The 23668-nt window shown below is 41.3% G+C and overlaps 1 protein-coding gene and 1 long non-coding RNA gene across 8 annotated transcripts in view, besides 2 other annotated features; one reads left to right on the forward strand and one right to left on the reverse strand.

Moving 5' to 3' along the window:
* The window catches only part of ASTN2 (astrotactin 2), a 991946-nt gene that overhangs the window by 163871 nt on the left and 804407 nt on the right, over positions 1-23668 (reverse strand). The gene's annotated exons all lie outside the window — the stretch shown is intronic.
* Positions 2860-3419: an enhancer, noted in NCBI's record as "H3K27ac-H3K4me1 hESC enhancer chr9:119352121-119352680 (GRCh37/hg19 assembly coordinates)". NCBI's record gives its function as "activates a minimal SCP1, AML or CMV promoter by ChIP-STARR-seq in naive H9 embryonic stem cells {active_cell/tissue: H9 hESC(naive)}" and the evidence as "EXISTENCE:reporter gene assay evidence [ECO:0000049][PMID:30033119]".
* Positions 3420-3977: an enhancer, noted in NCBI's record as "H3K27ac-H3K4me1 hESC enhancer chr9:119352681-119353238 (GRCh37/hg19 assembly coordinates)". NCBI's record gives its function as "activates a minimal SCP1, AML or CMV promoter by ChIP-STARR-seq in naive H9 embryonic stem cells {active_cell/tissue: H9 hESC(naive)}" and the evidence as "EXISTENCE:reporter gene assay evidence [ECO:0000049][PMID:30033119]".
* Positions 10865-23668, forward strand: part of LOC105376240 (uncharacterized) — a 46451-nt gene continuing 33647 nt past the window's right edge. The window contains exon 1 of the long non-coding RNA XR_930277.3: positions 10865-10945. This is a non-coding gene — a long non-coding RNA (uncharacterized LOC105376240). The remainder of the gene's footprint in view (positions 10946-23668) is intronic.

Here is a 23668-nt window from a genome sequence, read left to right on the forward strand (position 1 = left end):
GCTCATCTACAGAGGCCACCAATTCCCATCTGGAGAAATCTGCTTTCCTAAAATCAACAATTAAAAAGCAACACTGGGCCAAGCGTGGTGGCTCTCGCCTGTAATCCCAACACTTTGGGAGGCTGAGGTGGGCGGATCACCTGAGGTCAGGAGTTTGAGACTAGCCTGGCCAACATGGTGAAACCACATCTCTACTAAAAATACAAAAACTAGCTGGGTGTGGTGACGCATGCCTGTAATCCCAGCTACTTGGGAGGCTGAGGCAGGAGAATTGCTTGAACCCAGGAGGAGGAGGTTGTGGTGAGCTAAGATCACACCACTGCACTCCAGCCTGGGTGACAGAGCAAGACCCCATCTCAAATTTAAAAAAAAAAAAAAAAAAAAGCACACTGTTATAGAAGATCAGATCTCAGGCAATCTTATGAGAGACCCATTCTTTGATGTGGAGGGTTACCAAGAAGGATCTTGGTATGGACTCAGGGTTAGACAACCTATGGTCACTTCTGCTGGTAGTGAGCCATGTGATTTATTTTAGGCTACCCACACTACCATTCTCAGGTTTTAGTTTTCCCATTTATATAGTAGGGATAATGATATAAGCTTCCAGGACTTGCTGTGATTACTCCAAATCCTTGTAGAGTAACTGGTTGACAGCAGGAGCAAGAATCCTTAGTGGTTACATCCCAACTGCACTTCTTACTAGTTATATGTCCTTGGTTAAGTCACTGTCCCCTTCTGAGCTTCTATTGACATATCTGGAAAATGAGTCCAAGGATACACCACATTATAGGACTGTTGTAGGCAACTGGATGAGACTATGTATAAAATAGTTTATAAAGTAGAATACATTACTGAAAGGCAGGAGATGCTCATATTCTATGCCCAGGCCCTTTGAGAGAAGCATTCCAGTATCTCCTTATTATTCTTCCAGTCTTAAAGGGATTGTACTTCCATGTAGAGAAGAGTTTGAAAGCCCCATTTCAATGTCTGCTCTGTGAAAAGGTTACCAGTATTTTTTATTGTCATTTAGAGTGACCTGAGGGGAAATTGGCCAGACTTCTCTCCTAGGTCTACAGTGTTACTACAAAACTGAAACTCCACCCAGAAACCTGAGCCAGCTGGAGAATGAGGCACTGGGCATGAAACATGCCAAAAATATCTACCCGCTGCTTTCCAGGATCCCAAATGACACTGGTCATTGAAAACCCATCCCTCTAACCCAAAGGGAAAAATTCAGCTCTGCTTAAGAAGAACTTAATGCCCAATATTAATGTTAAAATCCAAAAAGGTCCTTCCAAAATTCTGACCTTCTATTGAAAGACATGTTTTTGTTTCACTGTCTCTTGGAAAATACTTTAGCAGCACATTTCAGAGTTACAAAATGGAGCAGATTGACAGACCTGGGAACCGATAGTCTGTTTATTCACTGAGCAGTGACAGTGGGGTCATAGCAACAGACAAAAGGATGATCATGCCAGGGCTTCTGAAGCAAAGATATCTAAGAACCTGAAGTCTTAATGGGTCCTGGGGTGGGAATTAGGATAGGCTTTGAAACTATGATGAGTTAAAACTGGAAACCACTTGATCTTGGATATGTTACTTAATCTGTCATAATAATAGTGTCTTCATCAATAAAATGGGATGATACACTTCCTATTATATAGCTTTAGAATATTATGCTGGAACGCTCAAGAAATGGTAGTTTTTTTTCTCTGACACCTATTCACACTGATTTTTTAAAATTGAAGAATGCCACTTACATACAGATCTTAAGTGCATAGTTCATACTTCAACGTTTTTGAAAAATGGCTGGATTATCCACTTTTATATGGGTAGCTGACCCACATCTTAGCAACACAGACAAGGTAAATAAAGAAAAAGAGGTTATCCCTCTGGGATCTAAGAAATACAGACCTATAAGGAAACAGACATGAACTGATCCAAAAAATTTCTCTTTTTCTTTCAGTGTAAATTGAGGTCAAGAATTGACTTGGGGAGGAAGATTTGGAGAAAGGTCATATAATTCTACAGTTACAGAAATAATCCCAATAATTAGCAAATACGTATTCAGTGTTTAATATGTCCAACAAGGATAACTCTCCCCACTAAATTATTTATCATCAAACATTTCCAGGGGGGTGTGGTCACAGGGAACCTTCTGGCTGTAGTTCAACATACTGGTTGCATTAAGAAAGGTAGGAGGAATGAAAGAGAGCTGAAAGGAGAAATAGATTGCAATTAAAGATGTATTACTTTTAAAAGTGCCAAGCATATTGGACACATAGTTAACAGAAATTCATTAAATAATTGCTGAATGAATGAATGATCATGTAGACAACTTCAAAATGGAGTACAAACATTTACTTTGATGAATCGCTCTCTTGGTCTCTCATGTGCAGTGTTGATATGTATAGTGTCCCTCTCAGAACTAACCTTTCTCCCTTTGGATTGTAAAAGAATTCCAGGAGTTTCTTAATCAAGGTTCCTAATGAGTTGTGGAGAGAGAAGGGAGAAATGCAACAGGTCTTCGTTTTTTTCTGTGCCTGTAATTCCTGCCACTGCCACATGATGTCACTATTGAAAACAAAGATTCTGCATGGCTCTGTGTCAAGTCATGGTGGAGGCGAAGGGAATAGAAAGGAGCCTTAAACAGATTACAGTGTTTCTCCAGTAGAGGGCAATCCCACTCCCTCAGTGACAACAGGCTCAAGCTTAGACTCCCAAGCCTCCAACTCTTTAGTTTTATGTTTCATTCCTCATTCTCAGGTCATGCCTACTGTGGCAAAGTGGCTGTACATACTGTGGCTTTGAGCCTGTCATACCAATCAGACATCTTCCTCCCTCATGATAAGTCCCCCTAGATGTTGGGACAATTTTAACCCACTGTAGAGTTTCTACACTTCACATGAAGAAGATCAGAACCTTCCACCCATTTATTCCCAGGAGTTCCTAGATTTATAATCAAATTTTCACAGCCACTCCACAGGGGCATCTGGGCTATGCATACTCACTGAGGTGGTCATTGAGGGGTAGCCTACTAATGGCAGTGGCAGCCCATATGAAGCGGCCACTGCAAAGACACCGGCTGCAGCAGGGGAGATGCAGCAGGGGCTGAGTGCTCCATGGAGCTGGCAGGAGCTAGGAACAGGTAGAAGCCCCACCCACTTCCAAGTTGGAGGAGCGGGAGCCCCACCCTCCGAGGCACAGTGTGGCCACACAGTTGCAGCTGTGGATCCAGGCATTCCTGCAGTCTCAGGGACCTGGGGATCACCCCCTTCCCCCACAGGCTCAGAAATACCTGCTCCCACTGCCTGGCCTCTCCCCGCTTCAAGCAGCCCCTCCAATTTCAGATCAAAGTTGAGGTTGGGCCCAGGCACTGTTGTGACCTGGCTGGGTGCATGTGAGCTCAGGGCAGTGCTGACATGCCAGCCCCCTGTTGCCTTGGCCCTCTCAAGACTTTGGGTGCCAATAAGCACGGGAAAGGGGCTGGGACAGCTCTGCACAGGCCAGCAGGCACCCCTCAGTATGAACAACCTGGTGCCAGGGATGGCAGGTTGACGGCAGCAGGAGGCAGAGAGTTTCCTGTGTGGAAAGGGGCAGGTCCCCAGTGCAGCCCCACCTTCAGGCCTGGGATGGCCTGAACCCTGGGGGCTGGGCTGCCAGATCTATGGACCAGAGTGAGAACTTACAGTGATTTTTCCAGACTTGACCATGGACACCTATGGACAAATCAGTATACAGTTCCTCCTCCCTGAAGCCCATAAAAACTCCGGACTCAGCCAGACTCAGATAGATGTCAGGACTATCAGCTGCAGGATTGAGCTACCCAGGAAGGAGCTTTGGTCTCCTCGACTTGCCCATGGAAAGCAGTGACCCATTGTAGGTCTCCTCTCTGCTGAGAGCTAGAGAGCTGGACACTCATCAGGATGACCTGCCTTCAGAAAGGAGCTACCCACTTCAAGTCTCCTGAGGGCTGTTCTGTCACTCAATGAAGCTCCTCTTTGCCGTGCTCACCCTTCACTTGTCTGTGTACCTTATTTTTCCTGGAAGCAGGACAAGAACTCGAGACTTGCCAAATGGCAGGGCTGAAAAAGCTCTAACACAAACAGGGTTGAAAGACACCCCTTGCTCACCACATTGCAGGCAATGAGGAGAGAAGAGCTGCAGCAGTTCAGGGAGCTCAGACCTAGGAGCTCCCTGAGCCAGGGCCATGACGCCCTCTTTGGGGCTCTGGTATCTCCAAGCTTCCAGATGCCACCATGTTCCCTGGTGCCAGCCATGGAAGCTGCTTGTGGTACATCTGGTCCAGCTGTAGCCTCACAGGGAGCTGGCACCCATGCCGGAACCTGAAGCCACCTGCCCTTCTGCAGCCAGAGTGCCTGACTATGTGCAGTAGCTGCACCCCACACCCACTAGCTCACACACCCCTCACCACTCCATGGCTGGCTTGCCCTTGGCAGGCATGGGATCCAGGCTGGTAGCATAAGCCAAGTGCAGCCTCAAGCTAATTTGCTACCTCTAGATATAAAAACATCTATCAGCTTTTTAAATGGCAGCTACTCCTAAGAACAAGAGAAATAATAATAACTATGACTCTACCCAACAATATGAATGGATCCTGTAGTGTGATAAGCATGGGAAGCTAGAAAAAAACAGAATGCATATTGGATAACTTTTTTAATGCATAAAGTTTGAAAACAGGCAAAAGTAATCTCTTTATGGCATTAGAAGTAAGGATAGTGTTTTAACCTTCAGGAAGAGGCTATAACTGAATGGGAGCACAAAGTGGGCTCTGTGAAGCTGGTAATTTGTTTCTTGATTTGGGTACTGGTTATATGGCTGTGTTCACTTCCTAAAATTACATCCATATATGTACTTATGATACGTGCATTTTTATGTGGGAATGTTATACTTCCATAGAAATTTCAAAAATAAATGAAGACATTCTGCCACAAATAAATGAAAGAAGAGATAATAGTGCAGCTGGCCCTCAGTATCTATGGGGAATTGGTTCCAGGTACCCCCTTGGATATCAAAATTTGCAGTGGCTCAAGTCTCATATATAAAATGGCATAGTATTTGCATATAGCCTATGCACATCCTCCCTTAAATTTTAAATCATCTCTAGATTACTTATAAAACCTAATACAATGTCTACAATCACTTCATTCATGTGGATTTAACATAGTACCAGTGTATCAGTCCATTCTTGCGTTGCTATAAAGAAATAACTGAGAATGGACAATTTATAAAGAAAAGAGGTTTAATTGGTTCACAGTTCCACAGCCATGAAGCGTGGCTGAGGAGGCCTCAGGAAACTTACAATCATGGGCAGAAGATGAAGGGGAAGCAGGCACATCTTACATGGTTGGAGCAGGAGGGAGAGAGAAGGGGGAGGTGCTACACACTTTTAAACAGCCAGATCTCAGGATAACTCACTCAGTATCACAAGAACAGCCACAAAGGGGAAATGCTCCCCCAAAGATCCAATCACCTTCCACCAGCCCTCGCCTCCAACAGTGGGGATTACAATTTTACATGAGATTTGGGTGAGGACACAGACCCAAACCATATCAACTGGGCATACAGCAAATTCAAGTTTTGCTTTTTAAAACTTTGTGGAAAATGTTTTCAAGTATTTTCCATTTGAGCTTGGTTGCATTCATGAATGCAAAACTCACAGATACAGAGGGGTGACTATATGCATTTAATATCCCTAAAGGCTGAAAGTCATACAACCTTAGAGATAGAAAGCTCTCAAAGATGACTGAATTCAACCACTTCACTTCACAGATACAGAAACTGAGGCCCATAGATGGGAATCTCAAGATCACAAAGGGATTCAGCATTAGAAGCAAGTCTCCTACAACCCATTCATGGATCTTTTCCCTTCATAATGTTGCCTTCCTTCTCCCAGTGATAAAGGTGAGATGTGGATGAAGTCTAACAATGAGCTGTGCATCAGAATGTCATGGTCTAAAATTTTTCAGGCAATGATTAACATTAATATCTGCCTTGCAAATGGACTCAGCAGCTGGGACAAGGCAGATGTGGCAACACAAATATGTTGCCCATGACACATGAATTGGAAGAGTGGGGTGGAGGCAGCTCTTGAGTGAAGGAACAAAAGAAAAGCCTGTCTGTCTGGAATGCAATGGGAATGAAGATTCCAAGGAGGTCATTTAGGGAGAAGCAGTGCCTGAACCCCAGACAAGGCTGGGTGCGGTAACATCTGTGCTTTTGCAAGGGAAATAAAAGGGAATCTGCTTCCCTGCCTGAAGGGATGATATATGGGCTTCTGAGGCACTGGGCGTGGGCCGAAGGCATGATACAGGGCTTGATGGATGAAGGCTGAGGTAACTCAGTAGGCCACACATTAATAAAAATTATCAAACTGTCCCAGTTGGTGGAGTAGAATGCTAATGCCATTCTCCACATGTATGTTAAAGGAAGAGAATGTCTGAAGGGAGGTAACCTGCTTTTTATCTTTACCTTCATTTCACTTGTCCAAATTATATCCTCTGTTCTGCTGCCAAGATCCTATGCAAGCCAAGTCTGGCAGAGCCTACTCTATACTACAACCACCTGTGATAGTTCACCTGCATCTAGCCATTCTTAACTGAGAATGAGAAGTGTATTCTAATCACAACTTAGCCCCATAAACAACTTTCATCACTCTCAAGTGCCCAAAGAATCAACTTCAGATATCATAACCTAGCCTTCAAGGCTTTCATCCGCTTGACCATGAATTCCAGTCTTGCTCATTCTATACTTCTCCAGACACCTTTCATTTCCATCTTCATGATTTTCTTGCTTTATGCTCTTCCATCTGTCTGAATTTCCTCTTACTTGTTCTCTATTATTGAAATCCCTTCCATCCTTCCAGGTTGAGATGAAAGCCCACTTTATTCACAAAGGCCGCACATCCTTAGCCTCTGATTTCAGCCTCAATTGCAATGGACAGTTCCAATGTGAGTTCAAACTCACTTTGCGCTGCCCCAAGACCTACCTCCTTGAATATATGCCAGGTATATCTTTGCACTTCCTGCCCCAAGGCCTTCAATGATGCCGTGGGACCTCTCTCAGCTCATATGAGCAAGTATAGCCTAGAAGTTTAAGAAACATCAATCTTTAAACAATTGAGATAGGGAGCTAGAGAAGACATAATCTAGCTTTGCATCTTTAAGCCAGCAAGAGCCTCAATACATCAATAGTAATCTTGTGAACACATCCCTGTACTGGCTTTTTCCCCTTCTGGGTCCTGTTCATGATCCTTCATAACTGTTTCCTATGGATACCTACCTAATCTGTGCTCAAGCTCTGTTTTAGGGTTATCAAAACAAAAACAGAATGAGTACACATCTTCTACCTTGAATTACAGCTAGACCTGTCTCTGGAATTTCCCCAGTAATTAGAACTAGTAGTCAATAATTGTTTGTCAGCTAGAAATAAATTTTAAAATACAAGCCACTAGTATCAACTCTACATGTGGAGAAGAACCTCACTTATAAACTATATAATTATCAAGACTGTCCACGTAGCTAATAGTAGGTGAGGAACATCAGAAGAGTCCAGTCTCACTGACATTCGATTTTGCAGTCACTTTATGTTCAGCCAGTTAACAGTACTCATTGGATGTCATTTCCATCACCTCTGCTTCCCTATTTTATGGGCCCAGAACTCCTTTGAGAAGCTCAGCTGCTGCAGAACAGCCAGATCTGACCTTCCTAAGGCATGATTCATCATGCATTGATGACAGAACATCTGCACCCAATGTATGAAACATGGTGACTCGCAGTGTCTGGCTCAGGATATGACCTGGCTCAGAGCTTAAGTCTTCCCATGATTTCTGTCTTGAAAATAGCTCCTAGCATGGTCCCCATACCCTCAGCCAAAAGCACATCCCCCTCAAGTTTTTTTCATTATACTCTCCTCTCCTTTTATTAAAATAAATAAATACATAGGTACATACATACATACACACATACATACATAATTTCCCCTTCAGGGATTCCTTGGAAGCCATCAAGAGTAGGGATAAAGAGCAGAATTTCTGAGTGAGAAAGAATTAGGTTCAAGTTCAAACTTAATACTTCTATGCCCTTAAGTAAGTGACTATGCCCCCTCTAAACCTGAGTTTTCCCACATGTGAAATGAAGATAATACTAACTAATTTTCAGAACAATTTTGATGATTATATAGGATAACTTGGCATCTAGGTGTTCAATAAATGCTGACTATCTTCTCTTTCCCTTTAATAGCTTTACACTTCCCACAATGCTTACAAAATTTCTGGTATGGTGTAGGTACTTAACAAATGTCATTACTCTTGCTTCATTCTTGTTGTTGCTGTTGTTGTTGTTGAGACGGAGTCTCACTCTGTTGCCCAGGCTGGAGTGCAGTGGTGTGATCTCGGCTCACTACAACCTCCACCTCCCAATTCAAGAGATTCTCCTGCCTCAGCCTCCTGAATAGCTGGGACTACAGGGGCGCACCACCATGCCTGGCTAATTTTTGAATTTTCAGTAGAGACGGGGTTTCACTATGTTGGCCAGGCTGGTTTTGAACTCCTGACCTCATGGTCCGCCCACCTCAACCTCCCAAAGTGCTGGGATTATAGGCGTGAGCCACCGCGCCCGGCCACTCTTGCTTCATTCTTGTTTGGGCTCCGTTTACATTAGATACCTTTCTGCTTGTGGTGTGACTGTCTTGTTTCATGACATATGACAATAGCATAATTTACATATTTGATATTAGGGATACAGCATGGAATGGGACAAGTAAGGTCCTAAGGCATGATTACACTTAGCTTACGCTCAAGAGCAAGAGAACTCTTATCACTGTTGGGAATGTAGAAAGGCGAAGCCACTATGAAAAACAGTATGCAGGTTCCTGAAAAAATTAAAAATAGAACTGCTAGATGATCCAGCAATCCCACTTCTGGATTTATATCCAAAATAATTGAAATCAGGATCTTGGAAAGATATCTGTACCCCCGTGCTCACTGCAGCATTATACACAGTAGCCAAGATAGAGAAATAACCCAAGTGTGCATCGACAAATAAATGGATGAAGAAAACATGGTATATGCATACAATGGATTATCATTCAGCCTTAAAAAAGAAGGAAATTCTGCCATTTGAAATGACATGAATGAACCTAAAGGACGTTATGCTGAGTATAATAAGCCAGTCACAGAAGAACAAATACTGCCTAATTCCACTTATATGAGAGGTATCTAAAATAGGCAAAGTCAAAGAAGCTGAGAATAGAGTGATGGTTTCCAGGTGCTGGGAATGCGGAAACAAGGAATTGGTTTTCAATGGAGTATAAAGTTTCTGTTATGCAAAACGAATATGTTCTAGAAATCTGCTGTAAAACATAGCACCTATAGTGAATATGGTATTGTGTGCTTTAAAATGTGTTAAGAGGCTAGATGTCATGTTAAGTGTTCTTACCAAACACACACATGTACACACACACACACATAAATGGACAAAATAAAATTATTGGAGGCGATGGGTATGTTTGTATCTTGCTTGTGGTGATGACATCATGGATACACGCACATGTCCAAAGTCATCAGTATCTATATATTAAATGTATGCAATTTTTATATATCAATTATACCTCAATAAAGCTGTCTTTTAAAGGGCAGGCAAATCAAAAGTAAATGAGCAAATATATAAATAAATGAGATAATTTCAACAAATGCTGAATGACATAAGGGTAGTAATACTGAGGGATGTGATAGAAAATGACAGAGAAGAAACCTGATATTTAGGTAGTCAGGAAAGGCTTTCTGTGCAGATGAAAATGGGATTAAGACTCACGTGCTTAATCCCATTAACTCCCATAAAGGAGTTAACAATTCCAGTTAAGGGAATCACTAGAGGAAAGGGTGGAAAATTCAAAGCAGAGGGAGGTAGATGTGAAGTAACAAGCTTGGTGTGTCTAACAATGAGAAAGTAGGCTAGTGTTGTTACTGCTCTCACGTGTCAAGTTAGTCATCAGCTTCCTAAAAGTCAACTCAAGAAGGGAAAGAGTTTGGGTTATATTGTTCTCCTCTCCAAATATAAGGGGATTATCTCTCAAGGATGGTTATATTTTTAAAAAATGTATTTTCTTGCCTACTAGAATGTATGGCTTCCATCTTTTTCTGGCCTTTGAAATTGGTACCCTTTCCAGAGGTAATTCTCCCCAGAACTCAGGATCAGGGCAGTGAGTGAACCCAAAGCCATAGGCATTGTGATCCAACTCTTTGAAACTTGAATGGTCAATGCTGAAGATACAAAATATTCCATGACTTTTGATCTATTTTTTTTTTTTTTTTTTTTTTTTGGAGATAAGAGTTTCACTCTTGTCGCCAGGCTGGAGTGCAGTGGTGCGATCTTGGCTCGCTTCAATCTCCACCTCCCAGGTTCAAGGGATTCCCCTGCTTCAGCCTCCCAAGTAGCGGGCCACCATGCCCGGCTAATTTTTTGTATTTAGTAGAGACGGGCTTTCACCATGTTGTTCAGGATGGTCTTGATCTCCTGACCTCATGATTAGCCCACCTCGGCCTCCCAAAGTGCTGGGATTATAGGCGTGAACCACCATGCCTGGCCTTGATCTATTAATACGTCCCAGGAGCTACAGAATTATATTCATGAACTTTGAATGACTTCAGTCAAGTCACTTTTCTTCTCTAAGTCTTATTTCTCATCTGTATAATGTGAGTGAGAGGTGAGGGGTGGGTAGGGGATATTGGGTAGGTGGCTACCTGTGATCTCTACATTGGGTAGAGGGCTGTGTTCACTAGAGTTCCAGATTTTCTGTGATTCTAAGAAGCCTTTGGAATCTTGGAGTGAGTATTCCCAGGGAACTCTGATGTGCTGAAAAGCTCTCCTACATCGTTGATGTCAGCTGTGCCTGAGGCTTTTTAATGGGTCAACAGACCCCAAAGGTGAGCTGGAGACAAACCTGGCAATTATAGATTAAAGGGCAATTATAACAGGGCTCATAATTGTTCTCTTACAATCTTGCCTTCATTGTTGGTTAATAACCAAATTCTCTCTTTCCAGGGAACTCCACCCTCACCTTTTCCCACTGGGGTAGGTGAGGCTGGATCAGAACAGGGTAATTGAGTTCTCCCTGGGGAGGTTGGGGTCATGTGAGCACAGCTCCTTGATCTCATCTCAGATGGCTCCAGGGAAGTACCCAAAATCTCTCCTTTGGGAGGTAGGACAGAATGACTCAGGAAAAGGGAAGTTAAAAGGAAGTTTATGAAGTCTGAGAATGGAATTGGTAAATAAATCCAAGTCTGGATACTCCTGAAGGCAGGTGGTATGGGGTAAAATACTGGGCTGAAACCCAGAAGACCCCATGTATGTGTCGGCCATAACTTGCCAGGAGACTCAGGGGAAGTTCCTTCACCACTGGGATTCAGTTGCTTCATCTGTGAAAAGAGGGGGTTGGCTTAACTGATCTGTAAGTATCTTCTAGATAGGATATGAGGTTGGTGCAAAATTAATTGTGGTTTTTGCCATTGAAAGTAAAGTAATAGCAAAATCCACAATTGCTTTTGAACCAACCACATATTTTTAGGATTCTAGATGCCTGTGACTGAGTGGACTACTTCTGAGTCTCAGTTTTTACTTCTGTAAAGAGACAATAACAAGAGTAACTTCATCATAGAATTATTGTGAGAATTAAATGAGCTTAACATGGCATCTCTACTTTATTCATTCAGTGCTCTCATTTAATGATTACTCATTAGACTTCTACTTTAAACCAGACTTTATGCTAGGAGAGGATGGATAATTCATACAGTTGAACTAGGTATCTTAGATGAACCTTCACAGAGGTGAAGATACCTTCACAGAGCTAGGAGTCTTGTGGGGCACACATGAACGTTTAAAAATGGAAGCTATTTTTATGAGGCATTTCTGTTATTGAACAGTCAGATAAAATACCACTGTCTAAATAATGGCGAATGGCAGGGGAAAATATTCCAAGGCATGGTGACATTCTCAAGAGAAGCTATCCTCTGTCCCTGGTCTAAATTAAAGATGACACATTCAAATACCTTCAGAGCAAAGCAGATAATAGAAGTTAATGTAGTGGGTTGGATGTCAGAAAATCTAAAAGAGGGGATTAAGACGACCTAGAGTTTCCATGCATTCTCTAAAGTGGAAAGCTGCTAGTCAACTCTCCTGCCTACTGCTGTCACGTGAGGGTGTGAGTCTAAAGTTGCCAGAACTCACTATTTTCCAGCAGAAGCCAGGAATCCAGATTTTCACATAAAAAGCATCCAGATTTCAAGTGATAGCCACTTATTCAAATATTTAAAAACATTATGTAGCCACTGGTTTGCTATCTCTAAGTTAAAGCCAATATTTCAGATAAGCGAGAGTATTGTAACTGTGTTCATTTTCAAAAGGAAGGTAAGGAGAAAGTAAAGGGGATGAATGATTATTGGCTATCATCTACATGCCCCAGGCATCTTACAGACAACATATATCATTTCATCTGTTGCTCACAACAATTCTGAGAAGCACCTGCGTTTAGTTCTGATATTTTTCCCTGAGGCAATTCACATATGGAAAATGTGTTTTGAGAAACACTGGTATGGACAGATATGACTGGCAGCATAAGGAAGATTGAATATAGGGGCAAGATAAGAGGCAGGACAGCCTGGTGAGGAAGTCATAGTGGAAATACACAAGGTGCCCCTAGTGGGGAGAAAAACAAGGACAGATTTGAGACAAAATGAAGTAATTAACCTATATTTTTCAAAGTTCATCAATAATGTCTGAGAGGGGAATTTTACCTCCCTTCCACCTCCCCATGTCAGATGGAGGAGGAAGGGACTTTACAACTGTACCCCTTTTCTTATTTTCTCTCTTCACCCTCAGGCTATCTATTTAATGGCTGTGTTCAGACCAAGGTCAGCCATCCGTCTAAGTGGACAACAGAAACTAAACCCTAGTCCTATAGCCTGGATCTCCTAGTCCACACCTTGATGCCACACAGAATAATTTCTCAGAGCAATGAACTTCTATATTAAAGATTACTCTGGTCAGGCATGGTGGCTAATGCCTGTAATCGCAGTACTTTGGGAGGTCAAGGTGGGTGGATCACTTGAGTCCAGGAGTTTGGGACCAGCCTGGGCAACATGACAAAAGCCCATCTCTACAAAAAAATACAAAAGCTAGCCAAGAGTGGTGATGCATGCTTGTAGTCCCAGCTACTTGGGAGGCTGAGGTGGAAGGACTGACTGAGCCCGGGAGATAGAGGCTACAGCGAGGTGTGATTGGGCCCCTGCACTCCAGCCTGGGCAACAGAATGAGACCCTGTCTCAAAAAAAAAAAAAAAAAAAAAAAAGAAAGAAAGAAAGAAAGAAAAAGAAAAAGACTACTCAGCCATTCTTCCTGATCCCCTGATCCATGGGCTTCTTGCCTCTGGCTGTCATTACACTGGCAGTGAGCAATAGAGAAATGTAGATTAAATGGTCAGAAGATGTAAATTCAATTCTTGACTCCACACTTATAAGAAGTTTGACCTTCAACTATCAACTTCACAAGACTTATCCTCAACTCCCTCATCTGTAGATGTAGATAATATTGTCCTCTTACTTGGAAGGACTAATTTGTAGATAAAATAAGATAATGGATTTGAAGGTCCTTCAATCCATACTTCATAGAGCAGCCAGGGTGATAAAACTTTTACTCTTTACCATGACTTAAATCACTCTCTATAATTTCATCCCTCCTATAGTCCCTTCTTTTTAAATTCCATACTCAGAATTTAAACTCCAGCCCCACTGTCCTTTTATTCCTTAAGGCCACTGTGCGTGCTGTTTCCTCTACCTGAACCGCTTTCCATCCCACCCGCCCCTCAATCTTCACTTCATTTCACTACTGCCTGTTCACACTTCAGGTATTTATTGAGTGCTTACTATGTGCCTGGCAATGTACTAGGCACTGGGGATAGGGTGATTAAAAAAAAGATAAATATAACAACACTTTGGAGAAGCTAATATTTTAGTGAGAAAGGCAAATGCTACATTCCTGCCTTCACCAACCAAAATATATTGAGAATTGTAATAAGTGCTACCAAGCTAGGAATAGTATAGAATGCTAAAAGTTCATGTAGTCAACAAGAGGGCCAAATCTAATCTAAGGATTCAGATAAGTGACATTTAAACTGAGACCTCATTGTACAGACCCAAGTGGGAAAGAAAATCTGTAGCATCAATAGTAGAGAGAAGAAGTAGGTAAGTGCAATTATTCAAACCTTGTACGATGTGTCAAAAAGTTTTCATCTGGAAGTTAGAAGAGTTATGAAAGTTCTTAAAAGGTTTAAATTAGAAGAATCATAGTTATAAATAAGATACCTATTCATCAAATATTTATTGAGTGCCCATGGTATGCCAGCTACTGTGCCAGATATGATCAAATGTATATTTTAACAGGTAACTCTGGCTTTAGAGTTGAGAATTGAAAGGGAGGGAAAAGTGGCTAATGTGAGGACTATTTAAAAGATGATCACAGAAGATGTTGAGTGGCTTAGATTAGGCAACGGAAATAAAAAGAAAGGACCCGATTTGAGAGATAATGGGGATCAAAGCAAAATAGCTTGGTTATAAATTGAACATGAAGGTGAACAAGAGAAAAGAGTTAAAGATAACTGCTTTAAGAAACTTAAGTTTATAGAGGCACCAGCTATATAGAGTAAATGAACAATTGGAAAGGAGCAAACTTGTAGGGAGATGATAGCAAATCCAGTTTTGAATGTGTTGAGTTTGAATTGCTTGTGAGATATCGAATTACAGATGCTTATAGTCAGTTGAATATAATTAGGGGGTTCCGAAGAATGAGGTGGAGACCCAAATGTAAAAGCAATGACTACATTGATTGTTATGATTGGACTAGATGTGGTAACCCAGAGAGAGATTAAATTGAGAAAAGATTATACAGGACCAAGCCATAAGGAGCTTCAAGATAAAGAACAGATAAAGGGACCCTGCAAGAGAGGCTAAGTTGGTGTTAGAGAGTTAGATACCAAACCAGGAAGGTATAGTACTGAAGAAACCAAGGACAGCAAATGTTTCAGACCCTGTAGAATGCATAGAGATATGAAGTAAGTTTATGACCCAAAAATGTCACTGGATTTAATGACATAGAGTTCACAAATGTTCATGGAGAAAAATGTTTTAGTAACTTGGTGGTAGCAGAAGACAGAGGGGAGTAAGCTGAGGAATGAAAAGATGAAGTGAACCATTGTAGGCTATACTTTCAAAGGTGTGTTTATAAAGAAAAGGAAAGAGATCATTTTGATGCTGGAAGATGCAATGTTTTGTTTGTGTCTTTGTTCTAAGAAGAAAAATTTATAAGCATATAAATGATGTAAATAATCTACTAGAGAAGGAGAGATATAAAATATAGGATATAAGGAGAGAGATTATATGTAGATTCCTAATAATTTAGGAAGGCATAAGAAATACTGCAATGAAAAGATTAACTTTAGAAAGAAAGGAGGACATCTCCTATATTATATCAGGAGGAAATGGGGAGAGTATGCATGAAAAATGTTAAATTGTTTGGAGAAAAATTATACTACTCCATCATTGTTCTTAATGAATAAAGGGAAAATAGGGTATTATGGGTTTAAGAATGATGAAGGCTGAGTGTGGTGGCTCACATTTGTAATCCCAGCACTTTGGGAGGCCAAGGCAGGCAGATTACTTGAGCTCAGGAGTTCGAGACCAGCCTGGGCAACATGATGAATCCCTGTCTCTACCAAAAATACAAAAAATGAGCTGGGCATGGTGGCATGCATCTACAGTCCCAGCTACTCAGAAGGCTGAGGCAGAAAGATTGCTTGAGCCAGGGAGGCAGAGGTTACAGTAAGCCGAGATCACACCAGTGCACTCCAGCCTGGGTGACAGAGCGAGACCTCCATCTCAAAGAATGATGAAGAAGAATGTAAGTTGACAGGAGAAACCTAGTAAAATTGAATGGAAGCATGAAGAGTCCAGTTAACACTGATGACTGATGATACTTTGATGACAATATTCAAAACTGTGTTTTTCTGTAGCTGCGTGACTGTACCATCACAGAAGATGGAGAGTTGCATGCATCCAGTGCAGGTGTTTGACCAAGCAGGGAAATTAAAAGACCAAAAGGCAAGGGAGATCGAGAGGCTGATACAAGCAGTGATTGAAATATGAACCATGGACTCTACCATAGATAGAAAAGTTGGAACTGATAGATGGAGAAAAAGGAATGCTACCAAGCAAGAGAAAGTCCTAATGAGTTAAAAGGCACGGCTGGAGTGGGAGATCTATAAACTGACAGTATAAAAGATCATGGTCAAAGAGTGGGATGTTAGAACTGATGGCTTTTTATGGAACAATATCATGTGAGGACAAAGTCTACAGTGTGGCCCAGGAGTGGGTGGCTGAGGCAGAATGGAGAAATGGTCACTGGAGATGAGCAGATCAAAGAAGTGAGAGACTGGATTGTTGGACAGAAAATCCACAAAAACCCTGACCTTACCTATTGTGATGGCAAGAACCCAGATGAAGAGAAAGCTGCAAACCAGGAACTTAAAATACTTAAAGAACCAGTTTCAGTTGAGGCAAGAGGATGAAGGTTGGATTCAGCTTGACTTCCCCTTTTGGGGAATAACAATGTCATAGACACAAGGTAGTATAGATTTAGTCTGGGCAAACTCTCTGGATGAAAGGTAGGTACCAACCTAGCATAATTCTTGCCTGGCCTGGAAGGAGATTCTGGTGAGTGAAGAGAGAAATACAGATTTTCTTCTCTTGGCGTCTCTAACGGGAAGCTGCTACTAAGGACAAGAATGGCAACAGATGGTGACAGGGAGGGAGAAAGATCAGCTTGGGAGTGATCTCCAGGCGAGGGGTTGATAGTCTTGTGTATGAGAGGTTGATCCATATAATTAATTAGTGGAACCAGACTCTCAAACAATTTCCCACTTCCTCTGAGTAGCCTTTATTATCCCCAATGGACTGAATTTCAAATCTCTCTGCCATGCCCCTACAGCATCTGAGTTACCTCAGCACCCACCATACTATCCCAGCAATTTCTTGCTAAATTGTACCACTCTCCTTGTTGACTGCAAGTTCCATGAGGGCAGGAATTATGCCTGTCCTGTTACCATTCCATACCCAGGACATAGACCATAGTAACAGCTCCCCACACATTCATGAAATGAATGAGTGTGCTTTGTGAGCTATAAAGAACTTTGTGATATAGAAGGCAGGCTGGGTGGCATGGGGGAATGAACAGGATAAAGACTCTCCAAGTACCTTTTCCCTTTGGAAGTCTTTGACTTTAGAAACCTTTCACCCAGAAAGCAGCTGGAGTGACAGAAATATTTTCTGAGCCCCTAATATCAGTTCCAGATGTTTGCAATCATGTGGGTTTATACCTCACCCTGTAAAACATATTCCCCTCACCCCCACCCCCCAATTCTAGCTGAGAGAGTAAAGCCTAGTTTCCAATGACATCACCTCTCTCAGGCTGACCCGGAGTAAGCAGAGAGCAGGCGGGTGAGGTCCCCTCTAGTTTCTCAGATGAACAGCATGGTTCAGCCATGGCCCACACTGCATGAGGAACTAAGAGTAAATTCCACAAGATTTCATAAATACCTACAATGTAAGTGCTCCATCACAGCCACTGCTGCCACCATCCTCTCAGCTACTGGAGAAAAGAGACCTTGCTGTCCTTCACCTTGAGTTATTCCTCATACAAATTCACCTCCATAACTGCTCCCTTTTACTAGAGAAAATTTTCAGTCTAAGGTCTGAGATGGGATGGTGTGTGTGTTGGGATGAGGAGTGTCTTTTCAGTTGTAGATTATCCTTAATGATAACAGGGACAGAGAAAGAACAGGGGAACTGAGAGTGGATACAGATGGCCTCTGGACATTCTCCTTTACCTGGATGTAAGTCTAAATCAGCAGCTCATATCAGAGCCAGCTTAGAGAGACAAAGACAAGCAAAGGTCAGCTGAGACATGGGCACAGAGTGACATGGAATAAAAAGAAGAGAGAGAGAGAGACAGAGAGCCACCAAGGGAAGCCGACACACATAAAGGTAGAAAAAGAAGAAAAGAAGGAAGGAGAGAGGAAAGGAAATAATCAGGAAAGGATATAGGAAGAAAGAAACAGAGACAAGAGTTGAGAGTTGGCAGGAAGCAAGAGTGATACTGATCGGGGGGGAGAGGCCCAGTAGGCTCCCAGATGCCAGGGCAGAAAAGGGGCACTGACCAGCTCCAGATGTTGCTGCCTTGTATGAGGAGGTGCCGGGGCTAGTGGATAGGGCCTGCTGCCTCTGTGAGTGCCAACAGAGCCAGATGGCCTTCCAGCCCTGAACTAAACAAGCTGAAGCTGAGAATCCCATGAAGAAAAAGAGAAGTTTCTGATTTTTTTAAAGTTAAAAAAAAAATCCAGCAGGAGAGCAGAAGATGACCAAAGAAAATGCATGGGGGTGTGGTGAGAATATCACCAGACAGAAAAACAGGAGATTATGATGCTAGGTGTGACCTATCCCTTCTTGTCCTCACTCTTCTGATCCTTACACTGAGGGTGGCGGTTTCAATGCTTAAGGTTCTTCTACTTGGAACTTTAGGGATTCACAGAAGCTAGTTTATCAGACAAAGAAGTGGGAAGCCTGATGGGCTACAATCCCCTTTACAAGATCAGAGCTCACTAGTTGCTCACTAGTTGCTGTCAGTGGCTAGATACTCCATTCTGTCAAGCCACACAAGTGTCCTATATCCCTTTATTTCCATCTGCCTCTAGGTCTATTCTCAACAAGAGCAAACTACACTGGAGGTAATATGAACTAGTGAAAAATCTTTGAATGTAGTGGATGAGGGTGTGGGAGTAGATAGGAAAGAAACCAGAGCCCTAGTTCTAGCTCTGGCTGTACCAGTAACTCACCATGTGTGTAAGCTCTGGACAAGTCCATCTCCTCTGAGCCTTTTTCTTCGTAGGTCAAACAGGAGATTTGGATTTATTAAATCTGCCTGTGCCTCGGCCCAGCTTCTTACTCCCACATCTACCCTGCCCAAGAGGCTGAAACCCATGCCAATTGTTCTGATGAGGCCATGAGGGAGAACCAGACGTCTGTTTTTAATACTGATGACAGATTAGCGTGCGGGGCATTCAGCCACCCCCCACAACAAGCCCCATTTCTGCTCAAAACAACTGGAACAGGAGACTACTTATGCTTGGCTTTCCTAACAGCGTCCCGGAACTGACCGAGCGATGGCTTCTCTGAAGGAGACAAAGAGGGCGCCAAACCTAGAGGTGGGGGCAGGGGTAGGAGACAGGGAGGGAGAGTGAGCATTTCAAAAGTTAGTTCAGAAGGGTGTGAAACAGATGGCAGCCATAAAGTGTGTGTGTATGTGTGTGTTTGTGTTCATGTGTGCACATGGGAGAAAGAGAGAGAGAGAGATCTGTGTAAGCACCTATGCCTGTGCACATGCACGCATGAGCTCGTGGATAAATAAATAATTCCAGCACTGGACTTGGCTGCCAGCAAAAATTCAGAGAGATCAAAGGATAAAGCCTATGTTTCCCTATTCTGGCCTCACCTGACCAAATGTGTGAGTAATCCTAACTGTCTAACCAAAACAAGTCTTAAACCTTATTTTGTTTTCTTCCTAACATTTATTCCTCCCTTTAATTTTTTTTTTTTAATTCATGGAAATAGGAAACAACAAGAAAGTATTAGTACCTACTGTGTCTCAAGAACTGTGCTGGAATTAACCCTTAAAAATAGCTTGTGAAAAAGGTGCTGTTTTTCCCATTCCACAGAAAAGGAAACTGAACCCTAGAAAAGATGTTGACTACCCCTAGATCTCTCTCACTGAGAAGTGGTGAAAAATAAATCCAGAAGCCAGGTTTTCCCAAGTCCATATTTTTTCATTAGGCTTGTATCCTCAAAGATAAAACTCAACTGAGTGAACTGAGAAATTTCAATTTAAGCCAAGTTCATTTTCCAGAGGGTTTAGACATGATAAAGGTGACACAGAAGCAAACAGATGAGGTGAATGTTTCAGATGTACCCTCCCAATCATCTACAGCATCAACTGGTCATGACACATTTTTAGAAGGCTTACCATGTACTCAGCTAGGTTGTAAGACTACAGAAGACCCCATAAAACTACACAGTGCTCAAGGAGTTAATGCAGAGTCGAAAAGTTAAGACATGAATGTGTCTAACCATATGCAATTCAGTTCAGTGAACTGAACATCCATGTATGACAGGCACTGTGGGGAAACCCCAACATATAAGGATACAAGATTCATCATCTTGTATCTTTAAAAACAACTGCCCACCCACAAAGTCAGGAATTGGATAATGTGGAGAATGAAAGTCAAGTCCTAAAACAAAGGTTAAAAAATCCCTGTAAAGACAGAAGCATGTATGTCACTGTCTTCAATCTTCTGAATGGCTACAGGAAGAAGGGCCTAGATCTGTGTAAAGTGACCCTAGGCCAGATAACCAAAAATAAACAAATTTTACCTCAATTTTAAAAAGTAACTCTTGGATTAGAGCACTGTTTCCTGGAAAATAAAGAAGAATCTTGGATTTCTATTTCTGGATTAAATGGAATAACAAGGACTGGATTTATTTGCCCTACTGCCCACACCATTAAGAAATTAACACACACACACACACACACACACACACACACACACACACACACACACACACACGCTGAAGCAGGCGGGTCACGAGGTCAGGAGATCGAGACCATCCTGGCTAACACGGTGAAGCCCCGTCTCTATTTAAAATACAAAAAATTAGCCAGGCATGGTGGCACGCACCTGTAGTCCCAGCTACTCGGGAGGCTGAGGCAGGAGAATCGCTTGAATCTGGGAGATGGAGGTTGCAGTGAGCCAAGACAGCACCACTGCATGCCAGCCTGGGCGACAGAGCGAGACTCCGTCTCAAACAAACAAACAAAAAAACATAAAACAAGCTTGTCAGCAACTGGAAATTAGGCAACAAAGTACAGAGATCCTGAAAGATGGAAAACAAATTATGTGAGCCCTAAAATTTCTCTTTGCCTTTAGAGAGTTTTCAAGCCACTGTTCAGGGAGAGGAAATGCCTGACAGATTCCCTGAATTGCCCAGACAGAGTTCTGAGACCAGGGAAACCAAAGTGATTACACTTCGTAAGATAGAGTAATGGAGAGGAGAGAGCTGCATAGAGGAAAAATTGAAGCAATCTGTGGAGGAGTTCCTGTCAACATTCATCAGAGTACTGATTGATGTATGTACATGAGAAATCTCCCAAAACAAAGGGATTAGTGAGAACAATGCCTGAGGCTCATACAAGGGCCAGTAATAGTGCCTGTCTCTACCAGCCATACTGTAAAACCTCAAAACTTATGGGCAACTTGGTAGAGCACACTGAAGGGTCCTCCCTTAGTAGTAGACAATAATTAGCCCTAGACTAAACACTGCTTCAGTTCCATCTAACAAATCTTAAAAGCAAGATCTAAAGGAATCAAATTGTTTCTCTGTGCAAAAGAGTTCAAAATGTTTTTGAACTCTTTTGAACAAAAGAGTTTGAACAAAATATTTTGAACAAAAGAGTTTGAACAAAAGAGTTTGAACAAAATATTTTGAACAAAAGAGTTCAAAAATATTTTTAGTAATACAAAATATCCAGCTTCAAACAAGGCAAGAATCGCAATGTCTGGCATCTAATACGAAATTACCTGGCATGCAAAGAGGCAGGAAAATGCAACCCATAATGAGAAGGAAAAATATCAATCAATTTAAACTGACCCAGAACTGATCCAGTTGTCAGGATTAGCAAACAAGAACATTAAAAGTTACTGTAACTATATCCCATATGTAAAAAAAATTAAGAAATAGAATATATTAACAAGACTCACATTGGACTTCCAAAGGTGAAAATTACAATGTCCAAGACGAAAAATAATGCTGGATGGGATGAACAATAAATTGCACTTCACAGAAGGCATTGAAGACATGCACTAGAAACTATCCAAAATGGAATACAGAGATAACAAATAATTTTTGAAAATGAAAAAAGCATCACTGAGATGAGTAACAACTTAAAGTGACTGAATATACATGTTGTTGGAGGAAAAGAAAAATGGCGGGAGATTTTTTAAATTGACAAAATAATGTCCAAAAATTTTCCAAATTTAATGAAACCATAAATCCACAGATCCAAGAAGCTCAACAAACCCCAAACACAAGAAATAAATGGCTAATAAAGAGAAAAGCTTAGAATCAGTCAGAAAAAAGGATCTCTCTCTCTCTCTCTCTCTCTCTCTCTCTCTATATATATATACACACACACACATATATACATGAATTATATATATGGGTGTATATATATATATATATATATATATATATGAACAAAGATAGGACTGATGGCAGATTTATAATTTGAAGCAATGCAAACAAGAAGACCAAAGTGTAACATATTTAATTACTAGGATAAAAATCTGTCAATTTAAAATTTCATGCACAGCAATAATATCTTACAAAAACAAAATCAGAAAGCATGCATCACTAACTGACAAAATATAAGAAATAGTAAAAGACATCCTTTAGGCTGAAAGAAAATGACACTAGATGAAAACATGAATGATACTCAAAGAAATGAAGAGTACCAAAGTTAGTATCTACATGGGTAAATATATAAAATCATTTATGCTATTACTTAAATACCGAAAAAATAATTAAGAAAAAACAATAAAGATAAATTGTGGAATTTTTAACATATATGTGAATAACACATATGACAAAAACTGCATAAGGCTTGGAAGAGAGGAAGAACAGTATACTATTATAAGATTCCTATGCTATACTTGAAATAGTATTATATCACTTGAAGGTAACTGTGATATGTTAGATATTCATGCTGTAAACCCTGAAGCAAACACTAAATTTTTTTAAAAAAGAGTTATTGCTAATAAAGTCAACAAAGGAGATATAATGGAATCATAAAAACTATCCAAAAGAAGATAGAAAAAGAAGAGAAATAAAAGATGGGATAATATTTAAAAAAAGAAAGATGATAACCTTAAACCTAAACATACAAATATCACATTATTAAGCAGGTCATGGACTCTAAAATAAATAGTTAACAAAGAAACAAACAAATATCACATTAAATATAAATGGTCTAAACACCCCAACTTTACGGTCTAAACACCCCAAAGTTAATAATGCCAGCTTGGATTAAAAAATAAGATCCAACTATATACTATCTTCCAGAAACACACTTTTAATACAAAGCAATGATAGTATAAAAGTAAAGTGATGGCTGCGGACGGTGGCTCACACCTATAATCCCAGCACTTTGTGAGGCTGAGGCGGGTGGATCACCAGAGGTCCGGAGTTTGAGATCAGCCTGGCCAACATGGCGAAACCCCATCTCTACTAAAAATACAAAAATTAGCTGGGGTGGTGGCGGGTGCCTGTAATCTCAGCTACTCAGGAGGCTAAGGCAGGAGAATCGCTTGAATCCAGGAGGCAGAGGTTGTGTTGGCTGAGACTGTGCCATTGCGCTCCAGCCTAGACGACAAAAGCGAAATTCTGCCTCAAAAAACAAAAAAAAAGTAAAGTAATAGGAAATTATAGACTTTAACA

Source organism: Homo sapiens, chromosome 9 (genome assembly GCF_000001405.40).
Source record: "Homo sapiens chromosome 9, GRCh38.p14 Primary Assembly".
Lineage (NCBI taxonomy): Eukaryota > Metazoa > Chordata > Mammalia > Primates > Hominidae > Homo > Homo sapiens.